Source organism: Homo sapiens, chromosome 13 (assembly GCF_000001405.40).
Source record: "Homo sapiens chromosome 13, GRCh38.p14 Primary Assembly".
NCBI classification, from domain to species: domain Eukaryota; kingdom Metazoa; phylum Chordata; class Mammalia; order Primates; family Hominidae; genus Homo; species Homo sapiens.
In genome coordinates this window covers 78187378-78206454 of record NC_000013.11, presented here as the reverse complement: position 1 = coordinate 78206454, position 19077 = coordinate 78187378, and the positions used below count along the sequence as shown (strand labels likewise).

At 36.9% G+C, this 19077-nt stretch overlaps 1 long non-coding RNA gene across 1 annotated transcript in view, besides 1 other annotated feature; it reads right to left on the bottom strand.

The window, feature by feature from the left end:
• Positions 1-19077, bottom strand: part of OBI1-AS1 (OBI1 antisense RNA 1) — a 562471-nt gene that overhangs the window by 410871 nt on the left and 132523 nt on the right. Inside the window, exon 2 of the long non-coding RNA NR_047001.1 lies at positions 16759-16847. This is a non-coding gene — a long non-coding RNA (OBI1 antisense RNA 1). The remainder of the gene's footprint in view (positions 1-16758; positions 16848-19077) is intronic.
• Positions 4868-4937: an enhancer, noted in NCBI's record as "active region_7847". NCBI's record gives its function as "activates an Ori minimal core promoter by ATAC-STARR-seq in GM12878 lymphoblastoid cells {active_cell/tissue: GM12878}" and the evidence as "EXISTENCE:reporter gene assay evidence [ECO:0000049][PMID:35858748]".

The window sequence follows — 19077 nt, the reverse complement described above, 5'->3', positions numbered from 1 at the left end:
AGAAAACTGAAGTTATATGCATCTAAATGACTCAAAATAGTATAATTAGTAAGTGACATAGCTGGGATTAAGCATCGGTTGGCTCTAATGCTAATCATGACTGCATTGTGCTGACTCTGGACTGAGTTAGACACATACTGTTTATCAAAGTTTTTTAGGTTATTGGCTTTTGGGTATAAGAACATAATTCCTTTGCTTGAACCTGGGAGACGGAGCTTGCACTGAGCCAAGATCGCACCAGTGCACTCCAGCCTGGGCAACAGAGCAAGACCCCATCTTGAAAAACAAACAAACAAAAAGAACATAATTCTTCACATAATTCTTTATTATGCAGGATGGCCCCATCCATACATTGCAAGATATTTAGAATCCCTGGACTCCTCTTTATATGAATCTTATTCACTTAAGATACAAAATTGCCCTACATATTTCCAAATAACTTCCTAGGTGGCAGTATTAGGCCCAGTGGAGAAATACAAGTAGTAGATGAGAACAAGAGAGCACATTTTAGATGTGAATGAAGTTCAACTTAAGAGACAGAAATTTGCGCGGCAAAGTTTAACAGACTCGAATATCCTGGCCTTGGTCAAAATGTACATCATAGCTGGGCACAGTGGTGCACACCTGTAATTCCAGCTACTGGGAAGGGTGAGGCGGGAAGATACCTTGAGCCCAGGTGTTTGAGACCAGCCTGGAGAACACAGTGAGAGTCTGTCTCAAAAAAAGAAAGAAAAAGAGGATATCACAAGATGTAGTAGAAGACAATACTGGAAAGACTGGAACAAGGTGGTGGAAGGCTTGCATTGACACATTTTTCAGACATTCTTTAACAGATGACAGGAAGCCTTTGAAGGTAGCACAAAGCTGCATTAAGTTCAGGTTTTAGAGTCATGCAGAGTTTGATCTAATTCCAGTTCCCTCACATCTATCCATTCATTATTTAATCCATTCATTCAATCTATATTTTTGATAACCTACTGTGCGCCAGGCACCTTATTAGGTGCTGAGGACTCAATGAATGACAATCACAGTTCCTGCCCTCATGAAATTTACAGACTACTATATACATAAATTGCCTATTGTTTATTATGTACATCTACTACACACATAATAAACATTAGTCTACATGGAGATTACAGCCTACTACATATATTTTAGACCTTTCAGAGCTTCAGTTTCCTATATTAAAGATAGGAGGTATTATATAATACTTTTTGTGAGAATTGGCAATAATGCCTGTAATTTATCTGAAACACATGTGCTCAATTAAGTGTGGCCCTGTTAGAAAAGGAATATGTTGAAAAGTTTTTTTTGAAAATTCTGTTGAAGAAAACTTTTCAACATATTCCTTTTCTACAGGGCCACAAAAAAATTCTGTTGGAACGCCTGTAATCCCAGCACTTTGGGAGGCCAAGGTGGGTGGATCATGAGGTCAAGAGATAGAGACCATCCTGCCAAAATGGTGAAATCCCATCTCTACTAAAAATACAAAAACTAGCTGGGCATGTTGGTGAGTGCCTGTAGTCCCAGCTACTCGGGAGGCTGAGGCAAGAGAATTGCTTGAACCCGGGAGGCGGAGGGTGCAGTGAGCCCCGAGATCGCGCCATTGCACTCCAGCCTGGGTGACAGAGGGAGACTCTGTCTCAAAAAAAAAAAAAATTCTGTTGAAAATTGTTATGGCTGTCAATATTCGGTAATGATTTAAAAACATATTACCTTTTATTTTCCTATTTGAAATGGGAGAGGAGGGGTAAATGTGCATCACCAAGAGGACATACGTGTATGAAATGTTTAGTACCTGCTTAATATCTATATAGTTCTCCCCAACTCCCACAACCATGAAGAAGAGAAAAGTCTATAGATAATAGGATTTCACCTAAAGCAAAATTAGTGGTTCCTTGAGGGCATTTTGCAATCTTCTCAATGTGTTTGCCTTAAAATAACTTGTTTATATACCTATTTCACATGTTAAAATGAGGATTTGTTGTGAGAAAGATTGTGTATTTCTAACCCCAATGCTTGGATTAATAAATGTTTCATTAATTAAAAAAAATAAAACTCTTCTTGTAGCTTTTTACCAAGTACTAAAATTCCTTTTAAATTTGTGCTGGCACTATGTCTCTCAGAGACACAATGAGCAGGTTTTCTGCACAGCTTTTGTGGACACAGAATGTACAAGAACTACATCTTCGTTGCTTTAAACTATTGAAATTTCTGAGATGTTTCCATACCATACTGTAGTCCATCCTAATTTTATATTATAATTGGAAATTTTCCAAAGATTTTGAGATTTAGAAATGCTAAATGTTTAAGTGTTTCCTGCCAATCTATCCAAAATATTTTTCTGAGATTGTCTAGAAGATATCTGCTTTAAAGTGCTAATTCATGCAAAAGAGTATTGTATAATGTAAGTTGTCAAAATGAGATACGTTAACAAAAATTCATTTTTCACTTTTTATTTTTAACCAGGTTAGCTATTGGAGTTGCATGTATGCAACTATGCATATATAGTGTCTGTCTCATTCATTATAAGTAATCATAAATGGTGAAAAATGTTTCCAGCCTAATAAACAACATGGCATTACAAAAAAGTTAAAATTAAAAAAAAAAGTTCTGCTAGCAAATGTAGGTATTTAACCGTAGCTCTCCTTGAAGCGTAAACTATAGAAACCCTAGAGGTAATTGACTCCAAAAAGGGAACTGGTGGTATTAAGCCTACCCTATTCCTTGCTCCTTTGACATTACCTTTTTTCTTCAGTTGAAGGCAAATTTCATAAAACAAATTTTTTGTCCAAATATGAGTGGTTCATTTTTCTAACAGCCTAGAAGGGACGATCTCCTAAAGCAAAAAATAATTTTAGAAAATGCAAACTGTTATTTCCTCAGTGGTCACATCTGTGTTTCTCTCTCTTCTATTCCACAACATTCCTCTTCATTTCTGGATTTTAATCACACAGCCCCAGCACAGAGATTGGTCTAGGGTGAGCACCTGACCAAGATGGACCAGTCATAGAACCTCCTTCCCACTGAGACGAAGCTGTTACGCAGGGGTAAAGGAAAAATGAGAAGTAGAGAAGGGATTGATAACATTCAAGTCTCTGATGCCTGGGTTGCTGTTTCATGACTGTTGTTCCAGCAGTTTCATTATAAGAGCCAATATATTCCATGTTTTGCCTAATTTAATTTTAGTCATGGCAGCAACCCTTGACAATTAAGGCAGTCTTACATCCTAAGTAGTACAACTACCCAGTTTTAAAGTTTACTTTTCTGTCACCCACTTATTCCACTCAATCAAAAAATTAGATGAATAAAGTGAAGCTAGTGGAATTAGACCAGTGAAATTAGCACATGTCAGAAACATCTGGAGTTTGATTATAAACACAGATTGCCAGAACCCTACCTACCTAATGAGTTTCTGATTCAAGGTCTGTGGTCAGGGGAGGAGGGCTGAGAATTTACATTTCTAATAAGTTCTCAGGTATTGATGGCCCAGACTCCACATTTTGAGAACCACTGAATTATATTAAAGTTACGATACAACACTATGCTGTCTTCCCAAAATGCGATTCCTGAAGCTCCATGCAATAATACGCAACAGGTTGTACTGCATAAAAAAAGAGGAACATTATCTAGGATACTGGATTAAATAATAAGATAAATAGACAATGTCACTGTAGGACCTCTCCAAGGTTTTAGTATACTAATATGCAAATCTTTGAGAGGTGGAATGTAGTATGAAATGTTTCCTAAACTTGTCTGACTTTGGAAACCCACTCTTTTATTGCAAAGCATGTCTTACAACTAGTGTGGATTGTATAGAAAATACACTGAAACACACAGATTTTAAGAAAGGCAAATGTTTCTTAGGAACCAGAAAGGAAGGAGCTTCTGAAACAGAAGGTGGAAACTGATATTGTCAAAAACTGTAGCTAAACAATGTGTTAAAAGACACATGCTAAGTTAGATCATTACCTATATATGCATATGTATAATACTAAAGAAATTGAATTTCATAAAATACAGGCATTGGCATATACAAATTTTTAAAGATAAAGCTGGACACTTTACTATTTTCTTATAATTCCTTTCTTCTTTTAAATGACAAAAACTAGACAATTTCCAATCACTTCCAGCTTTAGTTGTACTTCTCTGCTGGATAAACGACAGGAAGCCTTTGAATTGAATCAAGAGCTTGGTTATTAGTGACGCTCATAATCTGTTGTGCAGCACAGAAACACTGGAAGCACACCACTGACCCATGTAGGAGCAAGTGCTGCCACTCTTCAATAGCTCAATTCCCCTCAACAATAAGTAGGAGCTGAGTTTAGCGCAGATGAAACCAACAGGTTGTAGAAAGAAAAAAACAAAACAACTAAAATTCCCATTAAATCCAGTTTACCTCTCTGGACCAGGCTGCAGATAAAGCAGCTAAAATAGATGCCTGGTTGTAAAAGTCTTTAAGAAAAAGAATTGTTTCAAATTAAAACATTCTGAAGGCCCTGATCTTTAAATTTGTTTAATAGCATTTTCAATAGACATTTTTGTACCTTAGATGTTAATAACATGTTTAAGCTATGTTCCCTTCTCTTATATTGGTTTAAAGAACAATAATGAACCACATATAGAATTTTCCTCTTTTTCAATCAATGTACATATTGAAAGACTTCTCCTGGGTAAAGTGTAAGGTAAAAAACTTCCTAAGGAATTCGAAGTCTCTGGACAGAGAAACTAAATCACATCACATAACAATTAAGTTGACCAAAAAAAAAATTGTCTTGTGAATCTTGCTCTGGGGAAATCTGAGTATTTAAGATGTGGCTGAGAGAGCCTAGAGCGCTAGAGAGCACAGAAAGTCCCAGAGGGAGTCCAGAAAACCCCAGAAGCATTTGAACTTGCAAATTTTTCTTCTCATCAAAAGTGAAATAACTGTTCTCTCAGACAAGTCATGGGACAAGGTTTCATTACAAGCCATGAAGGTTTATATATGTGGGTTTGTACCTTACATGATGTTCTGATGGTGAATCTCTAAACGTTAGAAGCATCCTTAAAATTCATTGTGCTTACCCAGAGTCTCTAGCAAGTAGAACCATCCATAAATCAATGCAAATTATAAAAAATGTGAAAATTCAGCAGTTCAGTGGATTTGATGAACATTTCAAACTAGTTTTTAAACATTGAAGATTCAATACGATTGAAAAAAAGCTAACACAAGAAATTTAATTCTTTACTGATGATGTTTACTTGTGAATACTTTTCCCTGCAGTGGAATTTTATCTACGAATGTGTGCATTTTGAAACAATAGCTAAGAGAAATTTGAAGAAATTTAACATAGAAATTTAGATATAATGATTAGTTATTTTAAAGCAAAGTTACATTTTTATGTATAGTTGCTAATGATACTTTCCCAGAATGGTGGGGAGAAAAAGGGAATTAGGTACCTTTGGAAAACCCTACGACAATATTAAAAAAAAAAAACTGGGCTAAAATACCTAAATCTACCTACTGTGGATTCCATTCTGTCACTTGTGAAAAGAAGTAATTGGCCTAGAAGAATCCAAAGGGCTCTTACATCGCTAAGAATTTATACAGTAGTAATTATTCAAAAAAATTACAGTAGTAATTATGGTAGTAATTTTTTCATCAAAATAAATTGCAAATAATTCTACCTCAGTTAGGGTAGGACATTTCAAAATTTGGAACCTATGGTCTTAGAAACAGAGTCAATCACTGTGGATTTAAACAAAATACATATGGGGTTACAGCATCCAAACACATTTCATCTATTGATACTCATTTATTTCTAATAGTCATGTTTTTTATTATTTATAACCTATTGAACATGTCATAGTCTCTAAAATAAAATAAGATTATTTTTGAAATACGTGTATTAAGTGTAATAGAATTGAAAACATTATATAGTGAAATAATAGGGAGTTACAGTTCTCAAAAGATATGTAACTTGAGACTTCAATGGGACACAGTATGATAATTACCAGAATAAATGTAGGACTAAATCAAATCTCTTGTCTCATCAGAAAGTACATGGGACTACAAAGACAGGAAGTAGCTACTGAACTGAATTGCTTCTACGTGATTATTTCAGGTGGTAGTGAAGTGGTAAGACATCATAAAGTCATTAACACTAAATCTTGCCAGAGATGACAAAATAATTTAAGATGCCACGCTTCCCACCTCCAGGGCCTTCAAGGGAGGTGGGAGCACAAACAAACAAAAACAAGCAAATATTTTGCGTGAGTCCGTATGTAAGCATATCTGTACGTGCAGGCATATATAAGTAATGACTCCTAGCAAGAAGACTGCAAGCCTGTGTGCCCAGTCATGGAAAACTGAGCTCATATTTTCAAAACGAAGACATACTGGGCAGCAGGAGGAGGCCTGACAGAGAAGCAGCACCACTTTCAAAACTGGAGGCACACGTGCTGTTGCCTCCTCCACAGAAGGACGGTTCTAGCAAGAGAATACGGAGTGGGATAGAAAATTTTGCAAAAGTCACATAATCAATGGGCAAGCACCTCTCTTCCCCTGGGTATGAGCATCTCCAAGGAATGGAAGCACAGACTGGAGACAGGAGCCCCGCTGAATATTCTAGGTCCTAGAGTCCAAGGGCTTCCCATTTCTTCTGTATTTTCCATCATCAGAACAGAAGGATTTTGTAATTAGATGTGGATATTGAGCTTTGATATTATCCCCATCTTTATCCTCTGATAGAAATGAAATTCCCACTCATTTTATTTTAATGACGTCTTTGATCTTTCAGAGAATGGAAAAGTTGGAACCTTTAACTTTTGGCTAAAGGAATTATCTGGCCAAAACCTCTTTACTTTACTTTACAGGTAAGGACACTGATATCAAGAAAAGAAACTTTCCAGAGCCCTTTCTCCAGTTTCTTTCCTCTAAGTCAATGCTCTGTGATCTTTATTAAGATATCTTATCTTACCACTTTATTAAGATATCTTATCATACATATGCTCCATTAAAAATTAAAAACTGCTTGTTGCCACCAATATGAGATTGTGTACTCCTAGATTTTTTTTAGCATTGATATCCCTCTCTTTTAGGTTCTAACAACCTAAGTTACCTAGTATATAAAATTTAAGCGACCAGAGAGTGGATCTTATCCTAATAATCTTGAGGGCATACTGATTTCTTTTGATATCTACTCACTACAAGGGATGAAAAGTAGCTTAAACTTGGCTGAGGCAGAAGGCAGATGGACAAAGAACTTTTGGGGCTTCGGGTATAGCCTTTAGATTGATTGTTCAATCAGGAATAAAGTTACAACATTGTCCCCACAAAGATCTATAAAATATTTATTCTATGTTATGTTCTTTCTTAAAGTTACAATAAAAAGAGGTCTCTTACACAATACCCAGAGCCCACACGTGAGAATGATTGAGGAAGAAGCTGGACTCAGTGTAAAACTGAAGCTGAAACTCAGAGCAGGCATTGCACTTTTGCATATAAAACCAGAGCAACACTATAAGGAAATATGTAGCCCAAGGTTATGAGACATCAGTGATTCATTTATCATGAAAAAAGGAAAAAAATAGAAATATCTCATTGAATATTATCGGTCTCAAATTTTGCAATGGATTTATGACTTTATTTTAGTAAAGAGGGTAATAACAATGTCAGTTATGATGCCATATTTTATATGTGTAAGTATGCCTATAGTTAATAGAATTCATCAGGCAGTAGGTTTGGGTACTATTTAAAACATGGGTCAGAGGGGCATTAATTCTATTCAAAGTGTCCATCTGTTGCTGCCCAACTTGCACGGAGGGTTGCATAGCAACCCATAGTACTGCATGGATATGGTTGGCCTCCCTCTGTTGCTTTTGTTTGCCCTCTGAGAGAGTTGCCCTTGATGGAGAAACAGTAGGTGTTCTTTTATTTATATATTTATTTATTTTTTGGCTGGAGCCTGGCCTGGTGAGTGGGGGCTCCTTATAGCCTACTGAGCTAGATAGCATTGTGAGGCAATATCTGACATATGAATGTAATTTATCTTCCTGGCATGATTCTTCATCCCAAACTGATCCCCAAATTCCTAGGACTGCGGAAGTATAGCAATTAAAAAGAAAATATCAGGACCTTTTACTGGTATATGCAGGAAAAACACACGGCAGAGCAGGCAGAGGGAAGGTTTGGAAGCTTGACTCCATTTTGTGGCACTTAAAGTTATAATACTCAATTTCAGCATATTTCTGAGCATCTGGTTTTCTCAAATCTATATACCATGAAATTTGTTAAATGAAAAGATTACTTAGGAAATCAGATGTTCTTAAAGGCGTCTTTGCAACTTGTATCAATTCTAAATACAGTACTTACATTTTCTTGAACATTATTACATGTTTTAGCTACTCAGTAAAATTTGCAATGAATCTAAGCATCTGTAGTCTTACATAAAATAAGCATTCACTTGGCTTACATTATTTCTAGTATCAGCTGTAATTTCAGGATGGACCAAACAGCTCCTGTCTCCTCCTTGGACATCATGGATATGACTATAGGCCACTGATAAATAATAGTCTTAACAGATCATCAAGATTCAAAACTATCAGTAAGGGGCTCTTGAAGAAAGAAAATATTTTGAAAGAACTGAGAACGGTGTATTTCTAGAGAAACTGTTACAGTGTACTAATAGAAGAATGTAATCAGGATACCAGAATATTTTCTGTTTGTCAGTTGTTACAACTCAACTTAGCTGTTTATACTGTTTTTCAAGGCACAGTTTCAGAGATGCTCTTAAAAAAATCTCTGACGCATCTATTTCAACCTTAAACAATTTTAACTTATAATACTTTCAGTTAATAATCTTTAAACTAACTTTTAATAAGGTCCTGATTGCCACGGCAACCTTGAGCACACTTCCGAGGTATTTTCTGGAGGAGGTTGGTAATATGAATAATATTCTCACCTTCATTGTTATTAAAAATCTGGTTTCCAGATGCTGAATTTCTTAGTCATATAGTCTCTGTATGACCAGAATTACTTGTTTTCCTATGTGTCAGAGAAACTGCAATGGCCCTGAGCAGAGACGGATCTCAGATGCGGGGCTGGCTCACAATGAGATATCAGGTGAATTCCAGCATATATCTTCATTGGCTTTTGGTAAGGTGACCATATAATTCGTTCTCTACACTTAGTCCCTTTTGAGAATGAATGTGGGTCTAAACACACAGAAGACCAGGACAACTGATGTAAACAAAGACATTTTTGGGAAGCAGACATAAGGCCACACTAAATGTAGGGGAGAAGTCAGGGATACAGTCGCACAAGTAGGCACCAAGAAATGTCACATGTGAAAGTAGAAACTAGGGGGAAAATGTTATATGGTATGTTAGCAAGAGCCTAAGGTTTCAACTTGCCAGCCTAGGTTCAAATTCTGGCTGTGTCATTAATCACCTTTGTGACTTTGATGAAAACATTTAGTCACCCTGAGATTCAGTGTATTCATCTGCAAAATGTGATCATTGTACCTGTCTTTAAGTTGTGAAAATTAAATAAAAACATCTAATTTTAGGTGCTTAGTACAGACCCTGGTTGTGGTAATTCCTCTAAAAATAATAGTTACTTTTCTAATTATTTATCTAAGTCTATACACATGAGCCAGAAGAGGCAGCCACATTTAGAGATATAAGCAAGAGTGAAGTACTGGAGTGGCTTTACTAAGTCGAACCCTCTTCTTGGTCCCTTGAGCATCTTTAATGGGTCTTTGGAACATGTGACATCTTTCTTCCAGTGGAGAGTGTTGCTCTTAAAGGTACCAGTTATTCACAATCACTCATCTAACAATAACACAATGTGAATAAGACAAAACAAACAAAGAAGAATTCAGAAAGGTATTCTAACTCAGAGTCATTCTTATGTTACTTAAACTCTTCCACACTCAAATTATTCACTTTTAAAATGGAAATACTAATTTATACCTACATATGGTTGTGTGAGGATTAAATAAAATGATGCATTAAGGCAAACTGCACAAGGCTTAGATGTGGAGATATTCATTAAATGGTAGCGGTAGTACCAAAAAACAAAGAGTAGCAGTGGAGCTTATTTTTTTAACCTATTAACTTTCATCAACTTCTGACTCTGCTTGTAGTTTTCTCACATTTGTTTGTAGAATTACCTCACAGAAAAATGTTCCCTCCAGAGAACACTATTAAAAAAAAAGACAAAACACTGAAAAGTGAACACAATATGGTGAAAAAAATCCTAAAACATTATCTATTTAATTTATTCCACTGTTCGTTAGGACTGCAACTTAGCTATTGGAGAAAGGTAGCTAATAACTACAATATTGAGTATTTCAAAAGGCTTATATTTAGTAGTAAAATGTCAAACTCTATGGAACTTAAAAGAGGAACTTATACATTAATTTTTCTGAGTATTATGCAATTTTCCCATATACTTCAAAAATATACTTTAGAGGTTATATTAAATATACCTCACATATTTTTAAATTTCTAAATTTTAATTGATTTAGTCTAAAATTTATTCAAGAACTTGAAAGACTCTCTTTTTTCTCAACAATATGATTACTTACTGTTGGATATTAAATATATTCAATTAACCTCATATCCATATATTTAAAAGTTCAAAACCTTCCGTTCATGTGATACAGAATATAGCAAGATCATGAAAACTTGTTTTCAACAGTATAAAAATGTTTATTTTCTGATTAGTAAAGTATTACATGTTCAGTATAGAAACCTTGAAAAATAGGAAATTAAAGATTATTCCACCATACAAAAATGATATACTTTTATATGAAAAATTGAAATTATAACTGTTTATTCTTTATACATATGCTGCTTTACTTCATTTAACAATATTATCAAGATCACTGCAGGGGTGAGGCTGGGGAGCAACCCTGCTTACTACCCCACAGTTTTCCCATAGCTGGGAGTTTTCCCCCAACAACTCTGTATAAGTGAACACTCAGCTTCCTCTTTACCCCTTACTCACCCACAGGAGGAGAATTAAGGAGGAGCATCATTCCTGTCTGGTGAGTTTGCCAAGAATTTGACATTCACTATGTTGCATTAACTAGAGGCAGTAGCACTGCACTCAAAAAGCAATGCATTTCTCTCCTTATTTTTCTCTTTTTTTCCTAATTGTAAATATTTTTATGTATATGGGTTTAAACATCATTTAAACTGTATCCGCCCTGTATCACCATTGCAAAAAGACCCCAACACCTGATTTTAATTAGGCATGCTTCTCTTATTAACTACTTTCTATTACCCACATTACAGAAATAGGATTAGACCAGGAAAACTTGTTTAATTTAACACAAAGGATGCCCCAGCAGGGGGCTGAGTTGGTGAAAGACAAGAATAATTTCATTCTAAAGATTAACTGGTAGGGTAAGCCCCACATGCGTATTCCTAGCTCCTAATTACAGACCAACACTCTCCCTGAGGTGGCTACCTCACCCAACTCCGGCCAGCAATAGGAACATGCCTAGGTTCATTTGTCTGGCAAAATGCTACCTATTCATTTGTCTACTAAAATGCTGCTGTAGAGGAAGTATACTGGTTTCTAGATTAAAAAAACACAAACATATTGTGAAAGTTGTGATTATCATGAGACAAAGTTTTGTTAAACAATGATGGTTAAAGTAGTCATTCCTCTCCATTTATCTAACTTTTTTTTTGTTTTTGAGACTAGGTCTCACTCTGTTGCTCAGGCTAGAGTCCAGTGGAGCCATTACAGCTCACTGAAGCCTTGACCTGCAGGGCTCAGGTGATCCTCTCATCTCAGCCTCACCAGTAGCAGGTATGCGCCACCACAACTGGCTAATTTTTTGTATTTTTTGTAGAAATGGGTTTCACCATGTTGCCTAGGCTGGTCTTGAACTCCTGGTTCAAGCGATCCTCTCATCTTGGCTCATGCCTGTAATCTCATCCCAAAGTGCTGGGATTACAGGCATGAGCCACCACACCGAGCTGTGTACCCAACTTTTAGTGGAGGGTTTAGTATATGCAGACACAGGGCTAAGCGAAATAGCATTTCTCTTCAATGAATCCTCTTAAAAATCTTATAAGATTATTTTCTTTTATTATACATTATCTACGTATAGGGAAATGGAGCTTTGTAACTTGTCCAGGGTCTCAAAATTAATACACAATAGTCATGATTTTAACCCAGGAAGTCCAATTCCAGAGTTCTAACTTTTAAACTGTTTCATTCTACTGCCTTCTTGTGCTAGGGTCAGCATTTGGATGACTGTTAATTCTGGCATTGATCTTTTAATAGCCTGTGACATAGATGTTATGGGGTGAAAATTACACTGATGATCAACTTATGATCTGGCTAACTGGGTTGTCTACCTAGGCATTCATAAAGAAAGGCTGATCTATGCTCAAACACATTTTCTTAACCACAGGATATATTTTTGCTTCACTAATTGCTGAGAACAGATGAATCATTTCACACAAGTCTGGGTTGTTTTGTGTAGTCATGTGTAGAGGATCCAAGGAGAAAATCTGATCAACATCATTTAAATGGCAGAGAATGAAATATTGGCACAGGAGTGTAGGAATATCCTGCTTAGCTAATGTACAATATGTATGTATGTAGCATGTCTTTTTCTTCCTTTCTGCTTTTAATGTTTTGTCTTTATTAGTAGTTTTCAGCAATTTGACCATAATATGCCTTGGTGTGTTTTTCTGTGTTTCTTCTGCTTGGGGTTTGTGGAGCTTCTTGGAACTCTGACTTTATAGTTTCTATTAAACTCAAACAGAGGAAGGGAGACCCTTCTGAAGATTTATCTCTCTTTTTCTTCCTTCCTCTCTTTTGGTTATTCTGCTCTGCAAATTCTAGATGCACTGACCTCCTCAAAAGCCCACCTATCTCTCTATCTAAATAAGACTACAAAGCTATTTACGACAGTCCGGAAACTGTCTTTGGTAGTAAGGTGGGCGATTTCTGCATTTGCCTGGTTAATATGTCATAGCAGGGACCAAGAAACACATTTAAGAGTAATCTGGAAAATTCTAGATTAGAATAGAGATCTATAAAGATGGATAGAAGAGAACTTCTTCATGCAAATATTGACCTGTGACTCAGAGTTCAATGTTCTGAAAAGAACACTCATAACCTATCAGGTAATTTATTAGAATGACTCTGTGAAGCTTCGACATTATTATGGTTTATTGTAAATGAAGTGAAGATAAAAGGTATAGACTAAGGTATAGAAAGCTCAAAGGGTAGAAGGCTCAATAAGGTAGAAATGTTAATGTAAATAGACTATATAAGAACTGAAAAATCTACAGCCTGATAAGTTTACTGAGCAGTAAGGACACTTCCTCCACTAAGACCATAAAAAATGTACAGGAGAAAGTAGGTAGATATTAACTTCTTTGAACAACATCATGATTGCTAACCCCTGTAAAGTCAGGTTGACTGTGGAAGATGAAGCCTAATATGAATAGAGATCATGGGATTCTGGAATTGCAGAAACCATGGAGTAGCACTTAAAAGTCAGAGGAAAGGTATGTATATTACTATATTGAGCATGAAGGCCAGAATGACCTTAAGGGTGCTTTCACTCACAGGAATCTGTGGCATAGCTAAGGGATTATGCAGAATCTGGAGGCAAATAGTGAACAGTGGCCAGAGGTTTTATCAAACCATATAATTTTAAAAAATGAGAACTAGCTGGCAGAATTCTGGTATCAGCCACTAGTGTGTAAAACCACGGTCTTTTGTTAATTTTCCAAATTTAAGCAAGTTTCCGGATCCAGTGCTCACTGATTAAAGGGAAAACATGGTTCCCTTGTATAAGTATCTTGCAACACCATTGTAGGTATATACATTGAATATTCTGCTTCTTCCTCAAATTGCTGACCTAACATCATGTATCATAATAACTATATACTAAGAAAGAACAATATCTACATTTTTAATCAACTGTTATAGGGTCTGAGGTGATACCAAGGGACCTGGAATGCCACTGTGATCTTCTGGTGAGAAAAGGGGCTTATAGAGGATAAATTTTAAAGTTTTGATTTAAGCTAACAATGGGCACAACAAGTCCTGAAACTCATCCTTTGGTTAATTCCTGAATTCCTAAGTATACAATTTTGATACATAGACTTAAAAACTGGAAAGGACTGCCCTGACCGGTGGAATAAGGGCCCTATGATTTAAAAAAAATAAAAAGGCAACTGAAAGACATGAAAGTTTCTGCTCCTAGTCAAAATAGATAATCAGAAGAAAAACTGAATCCTGCGAGGAAATACAGAGAAGCATTTCCTTAATAGGCTTAAAAGATTTGAGTAGTGGTCCTTTATGATATTGTCATTCATCTAGCCACCACACAAAACGGATGTATTGTGATGGATGAAAATGGACTATCATAAATTTAAAAGTAAAGCAGCTGTGGTACTAGATCAACACAGCCAATGACACTTGGTTTGCAGATGTTAATCTGGCAAATGCATTTTTTTAACCCCATCAATAGGGAGACAAAGAAGTTCACTTTTACATAGAAAAGATGATAGTACATATTTACTCTCTTGCTCCAGACCTACTGTTCAGCTTTCTGTCAAAATATAGTTTTCAGGAACATTAGATATCTTGAATTCCTCAGAACGTCGTATAGATCCACTATACTAGTGGCAGAATGCTATTTGAACATGGTGAGTAGAAAGTGGTAAGTATCTTAAGGTCCTAATATGACACATGCTTGGCAGAAGTTGAAGATAAACTTGACAAAGATTCAGGGCCCTGTCACACAAGTTGAAGTTTTGGTGGCTCAGTGGTCTTAGATATGTAAAGACATCATCTCTGTAATATTGTGAAATATATATTTGGTCTTCATCCCCATTTCCTGGCACACAGTTCCTAAAACCCTTAGAATCTCCAGTGATGAGTGTCTTTGTATGCTAATGAGGTGGCTGGTAGCTGAGGGCTCCTAGGAAACATCACAGTAGGGGATGGCCACCAGAAAACCCAAGGCATTTAGCCCCACCTGCCAATCTCTGGAAGGGAGAGAGAGGGCTGAAGGCTGAGAGATCACCAATAGACAACGATATAGTCAGTCATGCCTACGTAATGAAGCTTTCATAAAAACTGAAAACGGCAGAGTTCAGGAGAATTCAGATAGTTAAACACGTGGAGGGTCTTGCAGAGTGGTGCAGTGGAGGGGGCATGGAAGCTCCATACCCCTTCTCATATGCCATGCTTTATGCTTCTCTTACAACTGGCTGGATACTCATCTGAGTCCTTTGTAATATACTTTATAATAAGTGGGTGCAAGTGTAAGTAAAGTGTTTCCCTGAGTTCTATGAGCTGATCTAGCAAATTATTCAAACCTGAGGAGGGAGTCATAAGAGCCTGCATTTTGTAGCTGGTCTGTCAGAAGTACAGGTCACAACATGGGACTTGCAGTTGGTATCTGATGTGGGGAGGTGTGAGTCTTGTGGAACTGAATCCTCAATCTGTGAGATCTAACACTATGTACAGGAAAATAGTGTCAGAATTGAATTACAGCACACCCAGCTGGTGTCTGCTGAAGAAGTACTTTGTGTATGGGGAAATAATCCTCACACATCTGGTGTCAGAAGTGTGGTGTTGAGTGGTTTGTGAGAGTAGGAGAAACACTTTTTTTCCTATCCCTAATAGTCTCTAATATAAATCTCCTTCTGATAAGGAAAAGTAGAACATTTGTTGAATTCTTTGGAGTTTGTAGGTAGCAAAGAATACCTTTGTTAATGCAAATCCAATTGATTTATTCAGAAGACAGCCAGCAAGAGAGGTTTCTGCAGTAAGTCAGACTATGACCTAAGGTTCCACACAAACATACTCTATGACCCTGAAGTTTTGATGGCAGTAGAGATGCTTCTGATAGGTAAAAATGCTGTGTGGAGTAACTGATAACCCTCAGTAGGAGGGTAACAATGCAAATACCTCAGTTTCTGGAGCAAGACTATACCTTCTGAGTCACAGAAATTCTCACTGTTTGAGAAACAGCTCCTGGTACACTATTGAGTACTTGATCCTGACACACCAAGGAAATATAAAGCCCTGATACGCAACGAGGTGAAATCCTGACAAATGGAAATTGAAAAGTGGCAGATAAAATTCCTATTCCCTTCTCTTCTGAACAGGCTATCTTTAGATTCAGTTTTTCTTGTTATTTCTCAGAAGACCATCTTGCAAGACGAAGTGACCAGTTGTACTGGATAGCTCAGTAGCATCCTCACTTCAGTCTTCCTTCTGCCCTGTGTTGCTTCCTTTTTCCCTCACACCTAATTTTCTGTGATAACATTTTCAGGAAATTTGTAGCCCACAAACATCGCCTCAGTTTCTGCTTTCTGGAAAGACCAAGAAAGGGTCTCCTACTTAAGACCCTTCAGTGGTTAAGCCTGTTGTTTCAGCTCTGTCTTTCTAATCACCTCTCTCAACACTTCTTGCCTTGCAGTTTATACTCTAATTATATCAAATTGCTTTTGCTTCCCTATAGAAATCAGGCTGTTTCATACCTTTAGACCTTGACTTATGCTCTTTACTTGGTCAAGAATGCCATCTTTCATTCCCCTTTAATTATCATGTAGTAATCAACTCAGAGGTCACTGCCTTCTGCATTTCTTTCTCAGGGTAAGAGGTGTGAGATGTAATGATCTGTCATTTGTCTTATAGGAGATTGTCTGACACACCCTATGCCACTGATACACTGAAAACATCGCCAGTGTAACAGGACCCTGAATCTTCATGATACTTACCTCCTATGCTTCGATAGGCCTGTGTCATGCAAGGGCTCCAGGATAAACTGGACGGCCATTAGGAGACAATATGTGGTAGGGTGGATCACCTATGAGAAAATGTGAAGGACATTTTGAAGCTATTTGTTAAGTGTCTGGACCCTTGAATTTAGACTGTTGACTGAAATAAGGAAAATCCGGGCTGTGCCCCCACCCCACCCCACACACAATTTGGACAAGAAGAAAAAGAACTCACTTGAGAGGGGTAAGATTTAAGAATATGTGCTCTACTTTTAGATGAAGAAAGGAGAAATCCTGCAAGTGCAGATTTCTGATCCAAACTTTGAAAACTTGGAGAATGTTATGCAATAAAGAAATCAAGGTAACATTTTACAAACCAAATGAAGGCTGTTAATTACAGCTTAGGCTATTTAGATTTGGTTCAACAGTCATCACATTTACAGTAAACTTCACCTTTCACTTGTGGTAGAACAAATTGATTCTCCCTTTAGTTCAAATATGTTTGAGTGCTTTATCTTTGCTATGTGCTATGCAAGGAACTTAGAGTACAGAGAAGAATCACACAGGCTCTTTGCTATCAGGGAGCTTCTAGTCTAATCTGAGGCATTGCCCAGTCCCACTGATCATGGTTGGAGAGCTATGAGAGAGGTATGCCAGGGCACTGTGGGAGACTAGGAACAAGGCTGTCCAGTGTGCACGAGCAGAGGAGGCTCCCTTATGACCCTTGCACCCTAAAGTACGGCAAGACAGAAACATTATGAATGAGGATAAAGACCCTGTCTGTAGCAAGTAGGATCCATAACAATGAATACTGGGTATGTATGTGAGTATTCTACTGCAGAGAACTGCAAGATTTTGAGGAAAAGTGGGCCCATTTAATATCATTGTTAGCGGTCTTTTTCTCTCATAACATTTGTTCTCTATCATGCTCTTTTCTAACTCAGTAAAAGACTTCTGGGTATGTTGAAGTTGTTAATAATTCCTATTTAGTTTTGTTTTCCATAAACTTGGTCAATTTTTTCTAGCATAAAAAAAAGTTCTTTCCAGCTGTGATTTTAAAGAAATAGCCTCTTCCATTTGTGTCTTATGAGTAAGCCAACATTTCAAATTTAGCAGTTGAGCTAAAACTTCTACACTTTTTTCTCCTTCAGAAAACATCTTCCTCCTTTCTCACTGGTAACTCTGTTTGTTTAAAGTCCTAACTATGGATTCTCATGTGCTATCCTATGTAGCAAGCAGGAGGGGGAAATCTCCGCCTACCTGGATTCATGCCATTTTAGTCCTTTCCTCCCAGACTGAACAGACAATTATTAAGACTTTAGACTTCTTTGAATTCTGCTTGATGTTGACTGAGGTTGTTTATTTCACAGTTCTGGAGGTTCACACATCTAAAATTGAACAGTTCATATAGTTGGAGAATGGTACGTGACTGTAGTCTGAGCATGAAGTACATTTGGATGGCGTATATGTCAACTGAATGCAGGTAGCAATAAGCATGTGTGTTCTGAAGACAAATGAGCAAATTTGCCTCCTTACTTCCTGTGGAACATAGAGCCTCCTTTGTCTTGCGTTGTCTTTCAGCAAACAAAGAAGCAACTTGGCCACATAGCGCTCACGTTTTATTTATTTATTTCCCCCCTGTAGTGTTTTCAGTCCAAGCTGCCCTACATGAAGGAATCATGTCTATGTATTAGCAAGGCCAGACTATTGCATGGGAAGTTCTCTTTTGACCCCTGCAACAGATTAACTGTTGGCCATAAGGAAGTCTCTTAACCTCATGGCATTTCCCTTTATGCTCTCCAAGTGGAGGATAATAACGCTGGAAAAGAAAAGTGACTTGATATTCACAAATAGGAAGCATCCTTTCAATGTTTTTGTACATATGGGTTTCTTGTTACAATAATAGTACTATTTTAATGAGCCTAAAATAATCCAAGAGGGTTCTAGAACACTGCTGTGTGGCTAATAAACCAATTTTTCAGTGTGTCATTATTTTGTAAAAAAATATTGAAGTAAAAAATATTTTACTTCACCTGTTCATTATCCATGGGAATATTTTGATTGTCATGCAGGAATTGGTAGATAACTAAAAAAGCACACACATACTAGCTTAGTAGTTTAAAGGCCTCTTACTAGGTATGAGCTGAGAGGAGTATAACGAAAAACAAAATAAAACAAAAAATACATACAAATAAAGCTTTTACCATTCATTTTGGTGCAAATAGAATTCATTTTATAAAAGAAAAGCTTACAAAGACTAGACCTCTGGAACTTCAAATTTTATTTGTGTTTCATTATAATCTCACCTCTTCAAGAAAA